This window comes from Homo sapiens, chromosome 14, assembly GCF_000001405.40.
Source record: "Homo sapiens chromosome 14, GRCh38.p14 Primary Assembly".
In the NCBI taxonomy this organism is placed as follows: Eukaryota; Metazoa; Chordata; class Mammalia; order Primates; family Hominidae; genus Homo; species Homo sapiens.
In genome coordinates, this window is record NC_000014.9 from 93,039,561 (window position 1) to 93,059,309 (window position 19,749).

At 54.1% G+C, this 19,749-nt stretch overlaps 1 protein-coding gene across 4 annotated transcripts in view, besides 5 other annotated features; it reads right to left on the reverse strand.

Moving 5' to 3' along the window:
- ITPK1 (inositol-tetrakisphosphate 1-kinase) overlaps positions 1–19,749 on the reverse strand; it is a 179,012-nt gene that overhangs the window by 102,647 nt on the left and 56,616 nt on the right. The window lies entirely within an intron of this gene.
- Positions 750–1,679: an enhancer, noted in NCBI's record as "NANOG-H3K27ac-H3K4me1 hESC enhancer chr14:93506655-93507584 (GRCh37/hg19 assembly coordinates)". NCBI's record gives its function as "activates a minimal SCP1, AML or CMV promoter by ChIP-STARR-seq in naive H9 embryonic stem cells {active_cell/tissue: H9 hESC(naive)}" and the evidence as "EXISTENCE:reporter gene assay evidence [ECO:0000049][PMID:30033119]".
- Positions 5,904–6,463: an enhancer, noted in NCBI's record as "NANOG-H3K27ac-H3K4me1 hESC enhancer chr14:93511809-93512368 (GRCh37/hg19 assembly coordinates)". NCBI's record gives its function as "activates a minimal SCP1, AML or CMV promoter by ChIP-STARR-seq in naive H9 embryonic stem cells {active_cell/tissue: H9 hESC(naive)}" and the evidence as "EXISTENCE:reporter gene assay evidence [ECO:0000049][PMID:30033119]".
- Positions 9,385–10,012: an enhancer, noted in NCBI's record as "H3K4me1 hESC enhancer chr14:93515290-93515917 (GRCh37/hg19 assembly coordinates)". NCBI's record gives its function as "activates a minimal SCP1, AML or CMV promoter by ChIP-STARR-seq in naive H9 embryonic stem cells {active_cell/tissue: H9 hESC(naive)}" and the evidence as "EXISTENCE:reporter gene assay evidence [ECO:0000049][PMID:30033119]".
- Positions 10,640–11,267: an enhancer, noted in NCBI's record as "H3K27ac-H3K4me1 hESC enhancer chr14:93516545-93517172 (GRCh37/hg19 assembly coordinates)". NCBI's record gives its function as "activates a minimal SCP1, AML or CMV promoter by ChIP-STARR-seq in naive H9 embryonic stem cells {active_cell/tissue: H9 hESC(naive)}" and the evidence as "EXISTENCE:reporter gene assay evidence [ECO:0000049][PMID:30033119]".
- Positions 16,654–17,341: an enhancer, noted in NCBI's record as "H3K27ac-H3K4me1 hESC enhancer chr14:93522559-93523246 (GRCh37/hg19 assembly coordinates)". NCBI's record gives its function as "activates a minimal SCP1, AML or CMV promoter by ChIP-STARR-seq in primed H9 embryonic stem cells {active_cell/tissue: H9 hESC(primed)}" and the evidence as "EXISTENCE:reporter gene assay evidence [ECO:0000049][PMID:30033119]".

Below are 19,749 nucleotides of genomic sequence, written 5' to 3' on the forward strand. Positions count from 1 at the left end.
GGTGTCAGATCCCCAGACTCTGGAATCTTGAATCCGCTGCTCGCAGATCTGACTGGTCACTTAAACCCCACTGTGCTTCTGTGACCACTGAATGGGGGACCAGGACGCACCTACACCTCACAGGGTCGCTGTGATAAGTCGCTGAGGCCGTCTCAGCCCCACACCCTGCAGCAGGCCAGCAAGCTGTCAGGCTGGTATTCAGCCTCAAAAACACTTGAGGAGCTAAACTGGGAGTTCTCCCTGCCAAAGTCTCCCTTGCTGTCAGTTTCAGTACAGGAAGTACAGGGTGGTTGGGAGGGGACAAATGACACCTTTGCTTCTCCAAGGCCACTGAGTGTTCTTACTGGCCCTCTGTCCTCCCCACAGGGCCTCCTCCAGAGGGTGTCCCGCTGTGCAGGGCACCCAGAAACCCTCTGGATGGGGTCAGAGCGCACACGGGTGCTCCTGCCAGCCCCTGCTGGGAGGCACCCCACCTCCAACTCAGGCTGACGGGAAGAACGCCCAGTGCCACTTCTATTAATTCAGCCAATGTTTTGTTCTTTTTGGTTAAACTGCCTTAATCTTTAAAACCGCATATCCACACGTCTGGCAGGCTCTTTATGCTCATGATTTCTCTGGGAGGAGAAGCAAGACAGACTTCATAGCCACTTACAGACCAGAAAACTGAGGACTCAGAGGGTCTGTGTCAGGGTGGACAATGGGGAGCCTGGGCTTCAGCTACATGAAGCAGAGCTTTGCTTCCTCCTATGAAAGCAGGGCCTCGGCCCAATGTCCTTCACTGTGGCCTGGGGTATAAGGACAGAGCAGGGGTAGGGAGGGGAGATAGTGGAGGAGAGGCGGTCTTGGTCCACTTTGCCACTCCCCACCTGCAGAGGCCCTCACCACCAACAGAATGAGGTCAAGGCCCCTGGCCAGAGCACACATGGTCCCCTGCCACACCGCTTGGCCCAACACCCCTGCCCAGGCACCCTGCAGACACTGTATACACCAAATACTTGGAGTTCCCCCAAATGCTAAGCTGGCTCGTGCCTTGAGGCTTCCTGCACGCAGTCCCTCCTCTTCCTCAGGACCTGGTGAGCTCCCAGCCTTCTCTGAAGGGCCCATTCAATGCCCCCCTCTCCCCCCCGCAGGAGGCTGCCCAGCACTCCCTGAGCAGGAAGTAGCTCTGTGCCCCCTCTGGGTCACTGCCATTCTCTTTCTCTGGTGACTGCCTCCCTCTGGGTGGGGCCGTATGCAGCTGTAGGAAACAGCCAAGCTTGGGAGGCAGGAGAACTAGAAGCAAGGTCCTGGCTCCATCACCTGGATGGAAGGCCCTGGGAACTACTTCACCTCACCAAGGCCCCGTCTTCTCCCCTGTAAAAAAGGAAGGATCCTGCCTACATCTCGAGGTGTCGTGCACATTCAACAAGATAGGATGTCTATGCACTGAGCTCAGAGCAGAAGTGTAACTCTACCACTCCCCATCAATACAGAGTGTGGGGGGAGATGGTTGGTCTCGTATATACGACAGCCATGAACCTAATCCCCTGTCAGGAGGGGGCTATTTTGATCAGTGATTAGCCAGGCGCTGTCCTCAACCATTTACTCCTCACAAAGGCCCTATCCCACAGGCACTAGCATCATTTACATTTCAAAGAGGCTATAAGGCAAGGGCCAGGCTTCCACTGCCCGGCCAGGATCTGAACCTCCCTCCAGGCCCTCTGTCCTACAAAGTACCTTTCAAATGCCCCCTCCTCCAAGAAGTCTTCTCTGACTCCTCCCTGCGGCCAGAAGTGGCAACCCTGTCTCTGCACAGTATTGCCTGGGCATCCTTCCCTCCTCTCAGTATGAGTTACTCTGAGGCCCAGAGACCAGCAGGTTCTGGGATGTGAGCACCAGAACCTTCCTGGGGCTGACCTGAGCAGCAAGGGACCTCACTAAAAGGCCACTGTGCAGGTCAGAAAACACAGGAAGCTGGGAGAGCCACGCTCAGAAACCGGGCCTCTGCCAGGGAGGCTGTTCACCCAGAGAAGCACAGTGAAAGTAGGCCCTGTGGCAGGCAGGCAGGCAGGCAAGGCCCCTGCCCAGCCCACACCCGGGCACACAGGGCTCAGCATCCCATCTGGCACCTGCCTCTGCCACTGAGCCACCATGACGAATGCTCCCTGTCCTGCTTCCTGAATCCCAGCACCAGGGGGTGGGTCTGGCTGGCAGGCCCCAGTCCTGTGCTCGCACCCAGCACTACAGGTGACAAGAGTTCCTGGCCTTTCCTGTCTGGCCTCCAAGATACATATGGAAGAGAATCCTCAGATGTAAACTCAGAGGGGGTTCAGATGCTAGGAACTCCCAAAACACAGCAAATCTATCCTGCAGCCCCCTGTTAACCATATGTTCCTGGTAGCAAGGACCCTATCTCACCCAGCCTGTGTCCCCCGCGGTGTCTAATCCTAAGGGCCACCTACTAAATGACAACAGCAGTGACCGCCTACCACACAGCTGCCATGTGCAGGTGTCATGCTGGGTCCTCACAGACTTCCTCTCACCCAGTCCTCACAACACCCACTGCAGGAGGTACAAATCAAGTTATTTTATAAGTTGAGGAAATTAACCTTCTAGAGAACAAATGACTCAAGTGCCCTGAATCTCACAGTAACAAATCCAAGATTCTGACACAGGTACAGCAAACTGGAAACACGTTTTCTCTACTCCGCCACCCTGCTGTTCTAGTAAACGTTCATTCAGTGAATGATAGCCATATGTGAACAGAAAGTGGCTAAGAACAAAAACAGTCCCTCTCTCCCCAGCCAAGCAGCTTCGACCCTAATCCCTGAGTGGGCCTTGATGCTGGGGGTTTTGGAACATGCCTGGCACATGTTTGGGTCACCAAAACCCTCCTAACATGCAGCCATTTGCCAAAAGGATTTGTTTGAGGCTGCGATCTCTCTAGTTTTGAGGGTGCTGATCGGATACCCCTAACAGCGACAGGGCTGGGAACTGGGACAAGGCAGAGCTGGACTTAACACGGCTTTGAAGCAAAGATCCAAAACTCAGGCCAGTGCCCCACCTGCATGTCCTGATGGGCCTGACAGGGCACTGGGGCTTGTGGGGTGGCTGCAGCGCTCAGAGGGAGAAACTGGTGGGCAAAGAAAGGGAGAAGGGCCTCGGACAAGGAGAAGGAAATTAAAGTTTCAATCATGGCTGGCTGCGGTGGCTCACACCTGTAATCCCAGCACTTTGGGAGGCCAAGGTGGGCAGATCACTTGAGGTCAGGAGTTCAAGACCAACCTGAGCAACATGGTGAAACCCCATCTCTACTAAAAACTCAAGAATTACCCAGGCATGGTGGCGTGCACCTGCAATCGCAGCTACTCGGGAGGCTGAGGCAAGAGAATAGCTTGAACCCAGGAGGCGGAGGTTGTAGTGAGCCAAGATCGCACCACTGCACCCCAGCCTGGTGACAGAGCGAGACTGTCTCAAAAAAAAAAGTTTCAATCTTAACTCTACAAATTGACTTGAAGTCCAAACTCTTTCTCATCCAGCTACTGCCAGCTCCCCACCGAGGCCCACACTTTGGGGAAAACCCTTAGAAACTTCTTGTCATTGGTTAAAAAAATATTGACCCAGGATTGGCCACGTGGGCCACAGGTGGTTTCACAGCACACACAGAACCAGAAGCTGGGGCTCAGAGAAGCAAAATAACTTGCCCAAGATCACACAGCTAAGGAGATCGGATTGAAATCCACCCCAGTTTATGTGCACAGACAGAAGGGGAGAAAAGAGATGTGGGGCAGGTGGATTTCTGAGGGCAGGAAATACCAGTGGGAAAGCCGAAGACAGCACAGTAGAGACTGCAAAAGCCCAGTGCTCTGTGGAGTCACTGCAGAAAGCACCGAACACATCCAAGGCTCAACCCATCAGGCACTCTTTCCTTTGGGGCTACTTCCAACAGGAAATTCCAAGTGTCCCTGTCAAGCAGGGGAAATGCCATCCTGGGTCCAAGGCAGCAGGGCAGCCTCCCTGCCCCGCCCAGCCCCACCTACATGAAGAACAAAGTGCACCAGGCAGGAATGTGCACTCAGGCCGTAGCCAGCCTCAGCCTGGCTCATTCTTATCTGTGGCTTGATTAAAACAAGCTTGGATTACACCACAATCTTTAAGCCCCAAGGCTGGGGGTGGTGTCACCAGGAATCTGTTCCAAGCGCACGTCATGCCCAGGCCACCGTTCTCCTTCCCCTCATTGGTGGCAGGCTGGCATCCTGCAGGAGGCCCTTCCCAGACCACAGCCCCACCCTTCCTCTCCTGCCGCCCACCTGAAGGCCCCAATACACATCTTCCTACAGTTCTGGCTTCAACTCTGTTCCTGAGACCTTTACTGCCCCAAGTCCACTACCCTGAGTTCTGGGCAAATGAAAAATCTTTTCCCCTTCACCAGATTTCTCAAATCCAACCATTCTGGAACCCGGCTTGTGGATGGCTAGGCTCTAGCCTCCCTCCTCTTCTGTCCCATCACCCTGGGAAGACAGAGCCAGAGGGTACTGAGGAATTCAGGTGGGAGGGGTTGGGGGGGAGGTGAGGAGGGGGTCCTAGGAGCAAATGGAGGGTCACAAACTGAAGCGCCCATGGGGCAAATGTAAACCATGAGGCTGGTGGTGTGGGACAACAGAGAATGGTGGGGCCTAAGGGGCAACCAGCTTAAACACTGGCAACAAATTCAAAGGAAAGAATGTAAAATTCCTGTGTGGGCCAAACAGATTGCATGCAGGCCCAGGTATATCTGAGTCACCCACGTGTAATCTGGTCCAACCCCCTCCGCAGAGATAGGAAAGCTGAAATCCAGACACAAGGAAGGGACCATGAATAAGTTTGTGCTGGCGATTACTGAGAAAGTCTAGCATAAAAATTAAACCGAAGCCTAGGCCGAACACTGGCATCCCTCTGCTTGGCTGTGAAGCTGGTGAGGATGCTGCACTCGGCCTGGCAGCAGATGGAAACTCTGGAACTCGAGGGCCACGGATGAGCCACAGGGCCCCCCAGGTAAAGGACTGACAGCCAGCCATGCAAGCCCCTGGGACTGACCCAGATGCAGAACTGACCAATGTGGCGACAACCATCACCCAACCCTGTGGGGCTGTAGATCTCAGAGGAGGTGGGACAGTGGCCCAGCGGACAGCAACACGGCAGAGAGGGAAGAAGGGTGTGGCCTCTGTCTATGGCCTGGCCAGAAGGGCCACCGCAAGCACCAAGGCTAGCAAAGGAGGAAGAGGAAGAAGCAAGAAAAACCCGACACCGTGACGGACTAGCGTGGGCCGCAAGTCAGGGTTGTGGTTCTTTAGGATATATCTTAACAGGGTAAGGGCCTTAAATGCCCTTTCCCCACCAACCTGACAGGGTTTAGCACCAGGACTCCTGGCCAGGGCAGGCCCCAGGGCTCTAGGATCTGTCAGATCAGGAAGAAAGGGGCATTTAAGGTCTCCCTCCTGTAAGATCTACCTTAAAGAACCAGATCCCTGACTTTGCAGCCCAGTGCCATGCTGCTTTTGAGCCTGAAATGGAAGTCTGTGCCTTAGTTCCAAGTCACCAGGCACTGGTTCCTTGCCCTTGCAGGCACAGGGCATCAAGATCAAACCAAACCTCCAAGCCTCACCTCTCACAAATAAGCAGAGGCCAGTTACCCCTCTGGGCAAGACCTCAGGCCCCTGTCCCTGCCAGTCAGCAGCTCTGCCTCCCGCAGCGCTTGAGGGCTGGTCCATGCAGCCGGCCAGGAAACCACAGAGGCCAGGTCAGAGTGGCCTTTTAATTCAACTCCCCTGGTGACCCTGAAGAGCACTGCCGCAGACTGAGAGGCTGGAAGTAGGCTATGCTGCCCCTGCCCCATAACAAAGACTCTACAGCAAATCACCAGGATGGGGGAAGATTAGCGCAAAGTGGGTGGAGAGTCTCCCTGAAACGTACTGACAGCACTTAAAAACCAATTAGATGGCACGTGCCTGTAGTCCCAGCTACTCAGGAGGAGGAGGTGAGAGGAGGATCACTGGAGCCCAGGAGTTCAAGGCTGAAGTGCGCTATGATTGCATCTGTGAAATAGCCACTGTACTCCAGCCTGGGCAACACAGCGAAACCCTATCTAAGAAAATCCAATTAGAGACCTTGGCTTACATGCAATCAGAGAACTAATTAACAAGGACCAGTAATTAAAATTAAGCTATACTCTCTAATTCAGACTTTTTTTTTTATTCTTTCAGAACTAATTTCAGGATCCAGTTTCTAGCCTGGACACAACCCAATCCACCCTGGGCCAGAACTGCCAGAATACCTTCCCTGAAACTGTCCTCTGCAACTACCTAAAAACCTTCAATCGCTCCCCAGTGCCCCCAAATGAGGACCCACGTTGCCTCCGACTTCCTTTCCACACTCACAGCTCACTGCCTCCCAAGCGGTCACTGCTCTGGCGGGACGGGTCCACCAGTGGTCTGTGAGCCGGGCCTCAAGCCCTCACCAGGCACACACAGAGTCCTTTTTGACCCCATCCCCACCCCACGCTCTTTTCTTCTGCAAACCTCCCAGTGTGGTCTGGGGCAGTCAAGCCGCACCCCTCCCTCCTGACTCTCAGGGCATCTTGACCTCATCGCCCAGGCTGACCACAAGTTCCAAACAGGACTTTCTTGTGGCCATTGCTCAGGTCCCAGGCATGCACAAACCCACTCACAGACACTTGGCTGAGAGAAATCTCAACCATTAGTGCTACTCCCATTTTCTATTCTGAGGAGGTAGAAACTGAGGCTCAGAGAAACAGCGCTAGCCCGGGGCCCCACGGTGGGGACAGCAGGGTCTGCACAGGGTTGGCCTGGCTCAAGCTTCCTTTCCCACATGGCCCCATGTGCTCCAGATAAAGGCAACTATGAACCATGTTCCTGTCATAAAGGAGATAAGACATACACACAGGATATGGTGATTGGGCAGGACGCAATTTAGTGCTCAGACTTTCCTAAGTGCTCTGGGCTTCAAGACCTTCAGAAAAAGGCTAGGTAAGCAGGGATGGCCCAGCAGCCGGGGGCGGGGGGGGGCGGCGGGGGGAACACAAGCAAACAGAAACATCTCCAAATGAGTGGTCAACTGGAAAGCACAGGGCAGAAACAGGAGACTGGTGTTTTTCCATTTCTTTCGGACTGCACACTCCCACAGCCTTCTCCCACAGCAGATGAAAAACTAGTGAATGAATAAAAGCAGCAAACGATGGTTCATTACCATCAAAGCTCAGTCACTAGCTAGCCCACCCAGGCTGCGAACCCCCATCAGAAGCTCTGCTCGGTGGAACTCCCACAAGGCCGCACATGCAGCCCAGCACCTAGGCTATCTGAGGCCCATGCTCCAGCCCAGAGCAGGCGGCTGGTAGGGAAATCACAAGGGCCTCCCTGCTTTGGGTCTCCCTTCCCTCTCCATTCACCTCCAACTAAACTAAGCGCCCCCTCCTGCAGAGTTAAAGAATGGAAGTCAGGAAAGAGGGGACCGAACTGGGAGAGAAGAATCAGACCAATGGACCACTCCGGACTGGAAAGCTGGGGCCCTCAGGCCAAGCCGGGCTGCTGGTGAACCATTACCACCACTGCCTTTGCCAAGTTTCCATCTGTGGACTGCCCTCAACTTAGTTCCCTTGAAGAACCTTCCTCCCCGACGTTTAAGCCACGTAACTCCAGGGGGTTGACCCACACTCACTTTGGGGTGGGCAAGTGATACAGTCCTGGCCAGCTAGAGTATCATGTCATCCAGCCCAAGGACAGGTGTCATGGGTTGAACTTTGTCCCCCAACAAGATAAGCTGAAGTCCTAACCTCTGGTACCTATGAACATGATCTTACTTGAAAACAGGGTCTTTGCAGATATAATCAAATTAAGATGAGGTCATCAGGGTTGGCCCTGATTCAATATGACTAGTGTCCTTATAGGAAAAGGAGAAAGCCAGGTGAAGACACAGACACCCAGGCAGGACGGCCAAGTGGGGATGGAGGCAGAGACTACAGCGATGCTCCCACAAGCCAAGGCGTGCCTGGGACTATGAGAAGCTGGCAGAGGCAAGGAAGGCTCCTCCCTTCGGGGCTTCAGACGGAGCAGTGCCCTGCTGACATCCTGAGTCCAACTCCTAGCCTCCAGAACTGAGAGTGAATTTCTGTTCTCCTAAGCCACGCAGTTTGCAGTGACCTGTTATGGCATTCCTAGCAGGCAAATATGATATGTATGTGACCCAAGCCAGGCCAACCAGAGCCAGCCAGCACCAGCCAGCCCGACATCTGCTTCCTGCAGGGCTGTTAAGCCAAGGGGATGAAGCTGCAGGCAACCAGTTTCACATGACTTGGCACAAGCCCACCCAAAATGACTTTCACAAGGAGCATGAAAAGTGAAGAAATATTTCTGATGACAATACATGTGAGTTCTTAATGGCCTGAAACCTGCCAGACCTATCTCTGGACCTTCTGAGACATTCAGGCCAATAAATTCTATTTATTGACATTTCCTTAAGATTTTTCTTTCATATTGACAGCTGCTACTTACAACCTGAAGAGGCTTTACATTTTCTCATAACATGGTGAACATGGTATGATTTGTTTTCTGACATAACATGTCCAAATGAACAGGGTGCCCAACGGTCATCCTTTTGGGCACCTACATTTCTGACATCGATGGTAGTAACACTCAAAGCACTGGCATCCTTCTCTTTGGCAAGCGCCTTCGGCCTTCAAAGCTTTGTTTCAATGATGGCCAGTCTTTACGTCAAGGGTGCATTTGGTTTTCGTATAACAAAAAACAATTCCAACAAGCTCAGAATCATGAGTGAAGATGTGTCTGGTTTTAAGTGGTGACTAAAAATGGCTTTAATCATAAGGACGGAACGTTAGGAGGGAGTGGAGTCTCCAGGGTGTTTCAACAGGTTGACATCAGCAAGAACCCATACTCCTTTCAAGTTTCTATTCTGCCATGCTCGCCATGGTAGACCTTTGTCCACGTGCCTGTCGCCTCACGCTCACAAGACAGCTGCCAAAGCTCCTGATACTCCCACAAAATATCTGGAAGCGGGGAAGAAGGGGCCAGGGCGAAATAGCCAACCCTTTGAAAGAGAAGAAACACTCTTTCCCAGCTGGGCGCGGTGGCTCACGCCTGTAATCCCAGCACTTTGGGAGGCCAAGGTGGGTGGATTGCTTAAGCTCAGGAGTTCGAGACCAGCCTGGCCAACACCATGAAACCCCATCTCTACTAAAAATACAAAAGTTACCCAGATATGGTGGCACACACCTGTAATCCCAGCTACTCAGGAGACTGAGGCACAAGAACTGCTTGAACCCAGGAGCCAGAGGTTGCAGTGAGCCGAGGTCACACCACTGCACTCCAGCCTGGACGACAGGGCAAGACTCTGTCTCAAAAAAAAGAAACACTCTCTCCAGTCATGTCTTACTGGTTAGAAGTGCACATAACATGGGCACCCCCACTGCAAGGGAGGCTGGGAATGAAGCATCTCATAACAGGCTCAGGCCAATCATCACTGCCACCCAGAGGAAAAGGGACAGTGTAGACAATGAGAAGTGAAGATCTGCTGAGAAGGAAACTTTGCAGATATTAATGATACTAAAGAATAACAGATTCCATTTGCCCTTTAAAAGCCCTACAAAACCCCTTCTGTGGCTTCTAGGTAGACCTGGGGGGAAAGTCAGCAATACACAAGAATCCTGTGTGGAAGGCCTCCTGCATGCAGGGCTCTGTGCTAAGTACCAAGGTGAGTGCCTGCGAGGAGCCCACAGGTAAACACAGTCGGCTCAGAGGAGGTGAGGGGACAGAGGGGAAGCCAGGAATGCTTCTGCCAGCAAGTGACATCTGGCTGGAGTAGGTCGGACCAGCAAGTGCAGAGGCAGGGAGAGAGTGCGCAGGTGTTGCTGGTGTCTGAGTTGGGAATGGCAGGGGGTGAGGCTGCCTGGCTGGCAGGACCAAACTGGGAAGGGCCTCATAAACCATTCTCCAGGGCTTAGACTTTAACCTAAAGACAATGAAAGGCCAGGAAAGGTTAGATCAGTGGAGTGACTCAGATATTCTCGATGAAAGATCATTCTGCCAGGTGGGGGCTGGACTGAGGGTGGGAGAGCCCAGAGCTGGGGATGCCAGCCAGAGGCTTGGCAATAATGGGTAAGGGGGACTGGGAGACTGACCGGGGTCACAGAACAGAAGGACGGGGGTGGGGGGTGGGTAAGGAAATATCCAGAGGGAAAAATCAACAGAACCTGGAAACAGAAAAGATGTGGATGTGGAGGGACAGAGGCACCGGGCTGGCAGCTGGGGTGGGAGATGGGGGGAGACCTTCATGACCATCTAAGAAAACACAGCACAAGCAGATTTGGAAGGGACAGAGGGAGTCAAGTTACAAACACGGTCCCTCCAGGCAGAGGCACTTGGCAAAGGTTCTAGGCCTGCCATGGGGGTGGGCGCCGACAATCCCTGCTGCTGGGAAGTGCAACTCCTGCTCAGCTTCCCTTTCGAGGAATGGCCTTCCCGGGGCAAAACAAAGGCCAGGGGGCAGCAGGCCGTAGGAAATACTCTCACTGCCTTAAATAGAAGCAAACCATCTGGCCAGTTGGAGAAAGTTTACACAAGGAGGACTGGGTTGCACTCGGTGCATTTTAAAGAAAGCCCGGCGGACACACGGGTTCTCCTGCTGGTGCTGCCAGCCTGGAAAATGACAGCTGAGACTCAAGCAGGCAGGATCGGCTGCCTCATCTCCAATTCCCGTGTGTGGGGTGAGAGGAGGTACTTCCACTCCCCTACCTGGCTGCAAGCCCCCGAATATGTCCTGTCTAGGGAGGCCCTGCTGCCACACAGCAAAAAATAAGTGATTCACTCTTGAGTTCCACGTGCTCCAAATGGTTCTCCAAGAGCCCCCAAGTGTCAACTTCTGTCCTATCCAAGGCAAGAGAGAGGAGCAAGGGCTGATGGCGGGCACCCAGGGATCGCAGGTGGCCGAATACTGCAGCTGGCTTTTGAAGGCATCGATGCACACTTTGAGGGCCTGCCTTGGCTCCTGCACCCCACCTCAGTTCGTGTTTCCTCCCTTTATTCTCTCCACCCAGAAAGGTGACAAATCCAAGCCCTGGATGTGAGGGGGGTCCACAAGAGTAATTCTGGAGAGATGGGGTCAGGTGAGGAATGGTTAGAGACCCAGGGAGCCAAGTCACGGGACCTCAGTGACCCCATGGCTGACCTACCGAGACCTCCAGTCGCCAGCATCGGGTAGGCCCACACGTGTGGGGGAGGAAGTGAGTGTCACTGGCCCATCAGCAAGCAGAGCTGGCAGAGGTACCTGTGCAGGCGAGTCCAATGCCCAGCTCTTTAATAAACACGCCTTGCGGTGCTGGAAGAGACTCAAAGTCCATCCAAGACAGATTCTGTCTTCCCACTAAACTGGAAGCTCCTTAAGGACCGGGATGTGGCAGTTTTGCTCTCAGCTATGTGCCCAGTGCTCAGCACAGGGCCCGGCCTGCCTGGGCACTCAGAAGGACACCTGACGGACAAGGAACCAATCAAACGGTGATGGCCACACTCCACCCCCAGGACCTGACAGCCAACAGTCATCACGCACCTGGCAGGCCCACAGCTCTCTGCACATACACATGCCTCAATTTCCCAGGCATGGGGGAGCTGAATATCCCAGGATTCTGCCCCAGACACCATGGTTTTCAAACTCTCTCTGACCTCAAATGTCTTTCCTGAAATGAAATCTAACATGCAGACCCCAGATCAAACACAGATCAAGAGAGAGTGGCTGGGAAAGGTGGCTCACACCTGTAATCCCTGCACTTTGGAAGGCCAAGGCGGGCGGATCGCTTGAACTCAGGAGTTTGAGACCAGCCTGGGCAACATAGTGAAACCCTGTCTCTCCTAAAAATACAAAAACCAGGCAGGCTTGGTGGCGCATGCCTGTAATCCCAGCTATTCAGGTGGCTGAGGCAGGGGAATCGCTTGAGCCTGGGAGGCGGAGATTGCAGTGAGTCCAGATCATGCCACTGCACTCCAGCCTGGGTGATGGATGAAACTCTGTCTCAAAAGAAAAAAAAAAAAAAGAAAGAGCTGCTCAGGTGAAGGGAGTGGTGAGCAACTCATCCCCCTTGAAAAGCAGGTACCCCTTCAAGGAACCCCTAGGGGTGCCTCATAGCCAAGCGTGAAAGCCAATTCAATGAGACCGGAAACCACCCTGTGCCTCCAAATGTCTCAGCATGGGGAATGGAAGACAGCAGATTGGGCGGAAGCCCTTCCATTGTAACGCTAACTCACTCCCTAATCCCTGCCACTGTTATGGCTATGGGGTACTCACCTCTGCAGTTTTTGGCTAAGAAATGCCAAGAATAAGTACCTATTTCAAGAACAACTCTGTTGTGAGAAATTCCAGCACATTCCACTCTGAGGGCACCACCATCTTCACCCTTTTGTAGCTGGAGCTTGCACCAGGGGAGCGCCTTCATCTCTGCCTGGAGGGGCCACGTGGTGGAAGGGGAATAAGACAGCAGAAAGCACAGAGATTTGGGTGGCAGAGTCCCCAGGCCAAATCCCAGCTCTGCCATTTAAAAGATCTGTGACCATGGGCAAGTTATTTAACCTTTCTCAACTTCAATTTCCATATCCAAAAGGTAGGATAATTAATTGTCCCTGCAGCTTGTAGGACTGTCTTTGGGTTTATATGAGGGATTTTTTTCAAGTGCTTTATAAACCACTCCCAAATGTTAGCTCTATTTACACTGATTTTATTGCTGGGCTCCTAGGAGGCCAAAGGCAACAGACTTAGTTTCCACTAAAGGTCTTTTATTACAACAGACGCCAGGCATCTAGGGCGGCCTGTTGTCTGAAGAACAGCCTGATTCTCCCATAATCCCAAGCTCTCCAAGGTCTAAGTCTCGATACCAGGCCCTGGCTGACTCTCTGACCCAGGGAGGCCTGGTCTGGGTTGTTCTTACCCTGGGGGCCTTATCTGTCCTTCTGTGAGGGCCAAAGGAACCCCCAGTGGGGTAGGGGGACGGGAGATCCTTCAGTGGGGCCAGAGACGGCCTGAGAGTGACTCAGTGGGCTGGAAGTTCGCCCCCAAGCCTCACCGGCCTTCTGGCTCACTCTATATTCAATATAATACCTGCCCGCACCACCACCCTCCCTCCAAACCCAGGTCCCCAAGGGGCTGGTGGTACAGGAAACAGCCCTACATCTCCCATCCCAGGGTTCAGTCCCTCACTCAGAACTGGGAAAGGGGCCGGGCACAATCTCCCAGATGCCCCAAAGACTTGGAAAGCGCTCTGGTGGCTTTCTGAGCAGGCACATCTGGCCCAACCACACCTTTCGTCACCACTGTTTAAAACCAGTGGTTCTCCACATGGACACAGGAAGGGGAACATCACACACCAGGACCTATTGTGGGGTGGGGGGAGGGGGGAAGGGGGAGGGATAGCATTAGGAGATATACCTAATGTTAAATGACGAGTTAATGGGTGCAGCACACCAACATGGCACATGTATACATATGTAACAAACCTGCATGTTGTGCACATGTACCCTAAAACTTAAAGTATAATAAAAAATAAAAATAAAATAAAAAATAATAATAAAAAAAAACCAGTGGTTCTCAGACAGAGGGGCTCACAAGCAGGGTCAACATCACCTGGATACCTGTTACAGATGTGGATTCTCAGCCCCCTCAGACCTACTGGTTCAGAGACCCTGGGAATGGGGCCAGCCACCTGTTTGAAGATGTGCTCCCTGGGGGTTCCAGTGCACACTCCAGTTTGAGAACCATTACTTCAATCCAGTGGTTCCCCACCCGCCCCTCTCCCGGCTGCCTGTTGTCCTGGGGGCCTCATGACAGCCAGTGCTCAAGAGCTGCCCCAGAGATCTGGATATAATTGATGCCACCCCATCAGCACTTCTTTTTAGAAGTGCTTTAAAAAGAACAGGCGGTGCAGAGGACTTTCACGGTAGTGAAGCTGCTCTGTATGGTATGGTAATGGTAGATGCAGGTCACTATGCATGTGTCCAAACCCACAGAATGTGCAACACCAAGAGTGAGCCCTATGCACACTGGGGACTTCAGGTGATCCTGATGCACCCAGGGAGGTTCACTGATTGTAGCAAATGTTCCAGGCTAGCGTGGGATGTTGACAGTAAGGGGGGCTGCATGTGTGTCAGGGTAGGGCAGATACGGGAAGTCTCTGCACCTTCCTCTCAATTTTGCTGTGAACCCAAAACTGCTCTAAAATAGAGTCTATTAAAAATCAATCTCCCAGGTGACTGTGATTCCAGTAGTCTCTGGAGCCTGGGCTGATGTTTGGGAGGTAGACGGGACAGCCAGGCTTCAGAAACAGCAGGTAAAACTACCCAGTTGTGGAGTCATCTGGGAAGATTCTAGATGGAGGGAAGTCAGACTGAAGTAGGGAGAGATGGGGTCGGGGAAGGAAGCGAAGAGCAAAGGCTTAGAAGCACTTCCTGGCAGCCCACCCAGCACTTCATGCATCCAACCCTGACTGAACATCTTCTTTCCCCACATCCCCTCCACCCTGTCAGTGGGTCAAGTGCTAGCCTGGGATTCACCCCACTTAGAGGTAGAGTCCCCACTTCTAGCAAGTGAACCGAGCCAGTCACCCACGTGTAGCTGCTTTGACGTCATCTGTAAACAGGGTACTGTGGGGCTGGACTAAGACACAGCCCAGTGCCTGGCACAGGGCAAACAAGTAATAAACGCAGGTTTTAATAAACTGATTGACAGAAACTGGAGCCCATGTCTGCTGCATGGAAAACAGCATCCAGACAACGGGTGGTCTTATCTCCTGCCAGTACCACCTCTCTGGCTTGGAGGTTAGACTTAAAGCACAGGAGGGAACCCTGTTTCTCCATGCCCAGAAACAGACCCTATATTCCCAAAGACAAGCTAAAACCATTGGGAAAAAAACAAAAAACCATTCAATCTGTAAATGCTCACTGTCTATTCTAACTAGACACTGGGCCAGGGGGTACAGAACATGTACTCCCTTGATTACAGAGAGGCTCCAGTCCAGTGAAGAGCAAGAAAGATGCCGCTGGGGCTACTGGCTTCTCACCAGGTGGTTCATCCTCGGAGCCTGCATCACTCCTGGCAAGGAGAGCTTCAGGAGGGGCGGTGGCCATGTCCTGATATGTACGGTGGCTTGAGAACCAATGTTCTAGAGAATCTAAGGGCATATATTACAGAAAACAGCACTCTCTCTGCCTCTCATGGCTTTTTTCCCCTTCTGTTTCTTTCTTTTATAAGCCTTTCACTGAAGTATAACATAAGAAAGGAAGGACATGCCATAAGTGAACAGCTTGAATATTTCACAAACTGGCACCCAAGAGGAAGACTGAGGAGAGGACAGTTGCAAGACACCAGCAGGCTCCTCACATTCCCACCCGGCACCTTGTCCCCAAAGGTGACCGCCAGCCTGCCTCCTGTCCCCAGAGAGTAGCTTGGCCTGGTCAAGATCTTCATGTAAATGGAATCAGACACTGAATACGCCTCTGCACCTGGCATCTTTGGCCACGTTTCATGCCTATGGGACTCATCCATGGTTCATTCTCACTGCTGTATTCGATACAACTCCATGGCCAGATGATAACACAGGTCATGTACGTACCCATTCTACAGCCAATGGGCATGCGTGCTGTCTCCTCTTTGAGGCCATCAGGAATGCTGCTGCTGGGAACATTCATTCTACACGTGTCTTTTGGTGGACACAGCCCTCCTTTCTCTTGGGTACATGCCATGGAGGATTTGCAGGGCCAAAGGGTCAGCATCTCCTCAGCTTTAACCAAGCCATGTTCCCAAATCCCACACCAGCCCTCAGCCCCTTACTCTCCTTCATTTTTCTCCCAGTCCCCCTCCCCCACCTCACTCGCCACCCACACTTCTTTCTGTTTTCAGTCTCTCAACCTAGACACAAGTGCTCCACGAAGGCAGAGGGATTTGGGGTTTGTTTACTGGGACTCTCCCGAGCCTCGGTGCTGCCTGGCCCAGAACAGATACTCAAGGGACATACAAATGCCACCTGAACTTCTGCACTCACCTGCGCATGAGCTCGGGACTCCTCTCAGCTGTCCCCTCCCATGCCTCCCTCCCACAGCGCCTTTCCAAAGTCCAAGGACCCATCCTTATCCGGTCCTAGCCCCAACTGCCAGTCAGGCCTCAGGTAGAAACTGAAGGTGCCCAGCGGTCCCTACCACTCCCCGGGCAGAGAGTACAGGCTCTTGGAAGAAGTCCAGACTCAAGTCTCAGCCTTGTGAAGCCAGCTGACTGGAGTGGCAATGACTCCACAGACCTTCCTGAGCGCTGGCTGGGGTCTGAGCACCCAGCAGACGGGAGGAGCAGCCGGGGCACCCAGTGAGGTCACGGCTAGGGAGGTGAATCAGGCAGCCTGATGAGGCTGGGGCAGGTGAGGTGTTTAGGCCACAGGAGAGCTCCAGTGAAACTGAACATCACCCGGTCTGGGGAAAGGAGGGAGGGCTTCACAGAGGAGGTGTCTCAAGAGTTGCCTCTTCCAAGATGTCCAGAGTTCCCCAGATAGAGAAGGCTGGGGTGACTGTGTGAGTAGAGACTGGTGTGTGCAAAGCAGGAGAGTGGCCTGGGTGCAGCAGGGTTGAGAGGCAAAGCCCACTCCTGGCCAAGCAGAGGGAACTGTCGGGGAAGGAGTCAGAAAGATCACAGGGAGGACGGTGGCAAACACCAAGAACCGCCAGGCCAAGGCCTCTGGGGTCACCCAAGGGCAGTGTGGCATGTGAGGGCTTCTGCAGCTTACCCATGCTGAGAAGGTGCCTGAAAGCTTGGTGAACTGCAGACTGACTCAGCAGGTCTGGGGGCAAGGGAGTCTGCATTTTTCATGGGCGCCCCATCAGTGCAGCTGCCACTGGTTCCCAGACCACACTGGGAGCAGCAAGGGCTTAGGGAAGCAGAATTAGGAGACCTCAGCAGTGCACCCCCAAGGGAAGAGGGACCAAGAGGGGTGCAGTGATGTTGAAGAGGAACCAGGGTCTTAAGCAGCTCAGTCCACCCACGGCTGGGTCTCAGTGCAGCAGCCACAGCTCTACTTCACACCACCAGCCCATTCCAGAACCTTCTATACCACCTCAGAGCAGTGCCCCTCCTCCAGAGCCTGGTGTTGCCATGGCAACAGTCCACAAACAGGGGGAGCCCAGGCTTCAGTGCCATAAACAACTCTGACAGATTCAACAAATAAAGATGTACTATAGCAATTTGTGGGGAATTTATGAGAAATTAAAAATTCAACTTGGACAATAAACAACCCATTTCAGAATTTGCCCCACTTAAAGTTAAATAAACCCCATGCAAGCATTTTTCAAGCATGATGTTTCAAGGCTAAAAACAGGCCCTGCTGGGAATGCTTCCTGAGCCTCCAAAACTGGGTGCTGCTGGGAGAGCACATCACATAACTGCTCACATCACAGGGCACTTTTACAGCTTAGAAAGCGCCTGGCTCACCCTCTGGGTGCTCCCAAATGCCACCCGGGAGACCATAGGCCGAGGATGAGTAATGCTGTCAGGATTATGAGCCTCACAGGCGACTTGCCCAGAGCACAGTGACTCCCCAGGGTCACAAGGCTGGTCAAGGTCAGAGGCAGCGTGCAAACCCATCACCCAGACTCCAAATCCACCACGCATACACAGGCAGCCATGTGTGCATTTGCTATACACAGAAACACTGCACCCAGGCGAGGTCCAACGTGGAGAGCTAGCTGTGTTCTCTCGAAATCTGTCCTGCTGAAACAGCACCCAAAGAGCCTGCTTCAAGCAGATCGACAAATTCTCCCACATGCACACTCACTCACACATTCACTCACTCACACACACTTGCTCACTCCTACTCACTTGCTGCCCAGGGGGCGAGAGGCCTCAGATCCCTGGATTCTGCAGTATGAACAGGGCAACCTCACCAAGCTGACTTCAAGATGAAAGGCTAAGAAAGGAAACAGACGTGCGAGTACACCTGGGAGATTTTCTAGCCCCGTTTTCTGAAGAATCAGGGATTTACAGAAGGTGAGAGTGAAACGGGACCCATGAGATCCTATCAGCTGTCAGACAGAGAAAGAAGCAGAGCCCGGCCGAGGCCATGCAGGGAGGAGAGGCAGAACCAGCAGGGACCCCAGTCTCCTGCGGCCCCAGCCTGCAGCACAGGCAGCCGTGGCTTCATGCTCTCCCATGGGGGCCACACGACTCAGGGCTCACCCACCAGGCACCCTCCTGGTCATTCTCACCATGCTTGGTGGCGCTAGGCACCTTGATGGAGAGAAAAAGGATCATGACCCACGATTCTGGCATCACCACATGCTGTCTCTCAAGGGGCTACCTACTGACAGGTGGGAGAAACCCATCAGCTCGGCGAGAGCCCTCCCCAGCTCCCTGGCCCGATCTTCCCAGGCGGCCCCATGGTTGTCTGTCTCCCTGAGCTACTGACGCAGAAGAGGTCAAAGACTTGGTCATCTTAGAGTCCCTAGAGGGCAGCAGGGGACCTGCCACTGGGGCCTGGGTGAGCACCCAGCAACAGAAGGAATGAAGGGCTGAGCCCCTGTTAGGGCCCTGGGCCTGCAAGCCCATCAGCTCCCTTAAAGGATCAATCATAAATTGATGACAGAAATGAGCCATGGGGTGATGGCCACAGGGGCATCTGGGAGGGCCAGTCTGGAAGGTCGAAGCCAGAGTGGCCATGCGGGACTCTGGGTAGGGACAGAAGAACTGGGTCCGCTCTCACAGAGGCCACGGGACACATTGCTGCTCTGCCTTGAGGTCCACAGGGTCATAAGGCAGGGGTGGAGGGGGTGTAGGTCGCAACACAGGGGTGGAGGGGGTGCGGGTCACGAGGCAGGGGTTGAGGGGGTGCGGGTCACGAGGCGGGGTGGAGGGGGTGCGGGTCACGAGGCAGGGTGGAGGGGGTGCGGGTCACGAGGCGGGGTGGAGGGGGTGTGAGTCACGAGGCGGGGTGGAAGCGGTGCGGGTTACAAGGCGGGGGTGGGTGCTGGTCACGAGGCAGGGTGGAGGGGGTGCGGGTCACGAGGCAGGGGTGGAGGGGGTGCAGGTCGTGAGGCAGGGGTGGAGGGGGTGCGGGTTATGAGGTGGGGTGGAGGGGGTGCAGGTCACGAGGCAGGGGTGGAGGGGGTGCGGATCATGAGGCAAGGGTGAACGGGGTGCGGGTTACGAGGGAGGGTGGAGGGGGTGCGGGTCTTGAGGCGGGGGCGGGTGCTGGTCACAAGGTGGGGTGGAGGGGGTACGGGTCACAAGGCGGGGTGGAGGGGGTGCAGGTCGTGAGGCAGGGGTGGAGGGGGTGCAGGTCACGAGGCGGGGTGGAGGGGGTGCGGGTCACGAGGCAGGGGTGGAGGGGGTGCGGATCATAAGGCAGGGGTGGAGGGGGTGCGGGTCACGAGGCGGGGTGGAGGGGGTGCGGATCATGAAGCAGGGGTGGAGGGGGTGCGGGTCTCGAGGCAGGGGCGGGTGCTGGTCACGAGGGGGGTGGAGGGGGTGCAGGTCGTGAGGCAGGGGTGGAGGGGGTGCAGGTCACAAGGCAAGGGTGGAGGGGGTGTGGGTCACGAGGCAGGGGTGGAGGGGGTGCAGATCATGAGGCAGGGGTGGAGGGGGGTGTGGGTCTCGAGGCAGGGGTGGAGGGTGTGTGGGTCTCGAGGCGGGGATGGGTGCTGGTCATGAGGCAGGGGTGGAGGGAGTATGGGTGACGAAGCAGGGGTG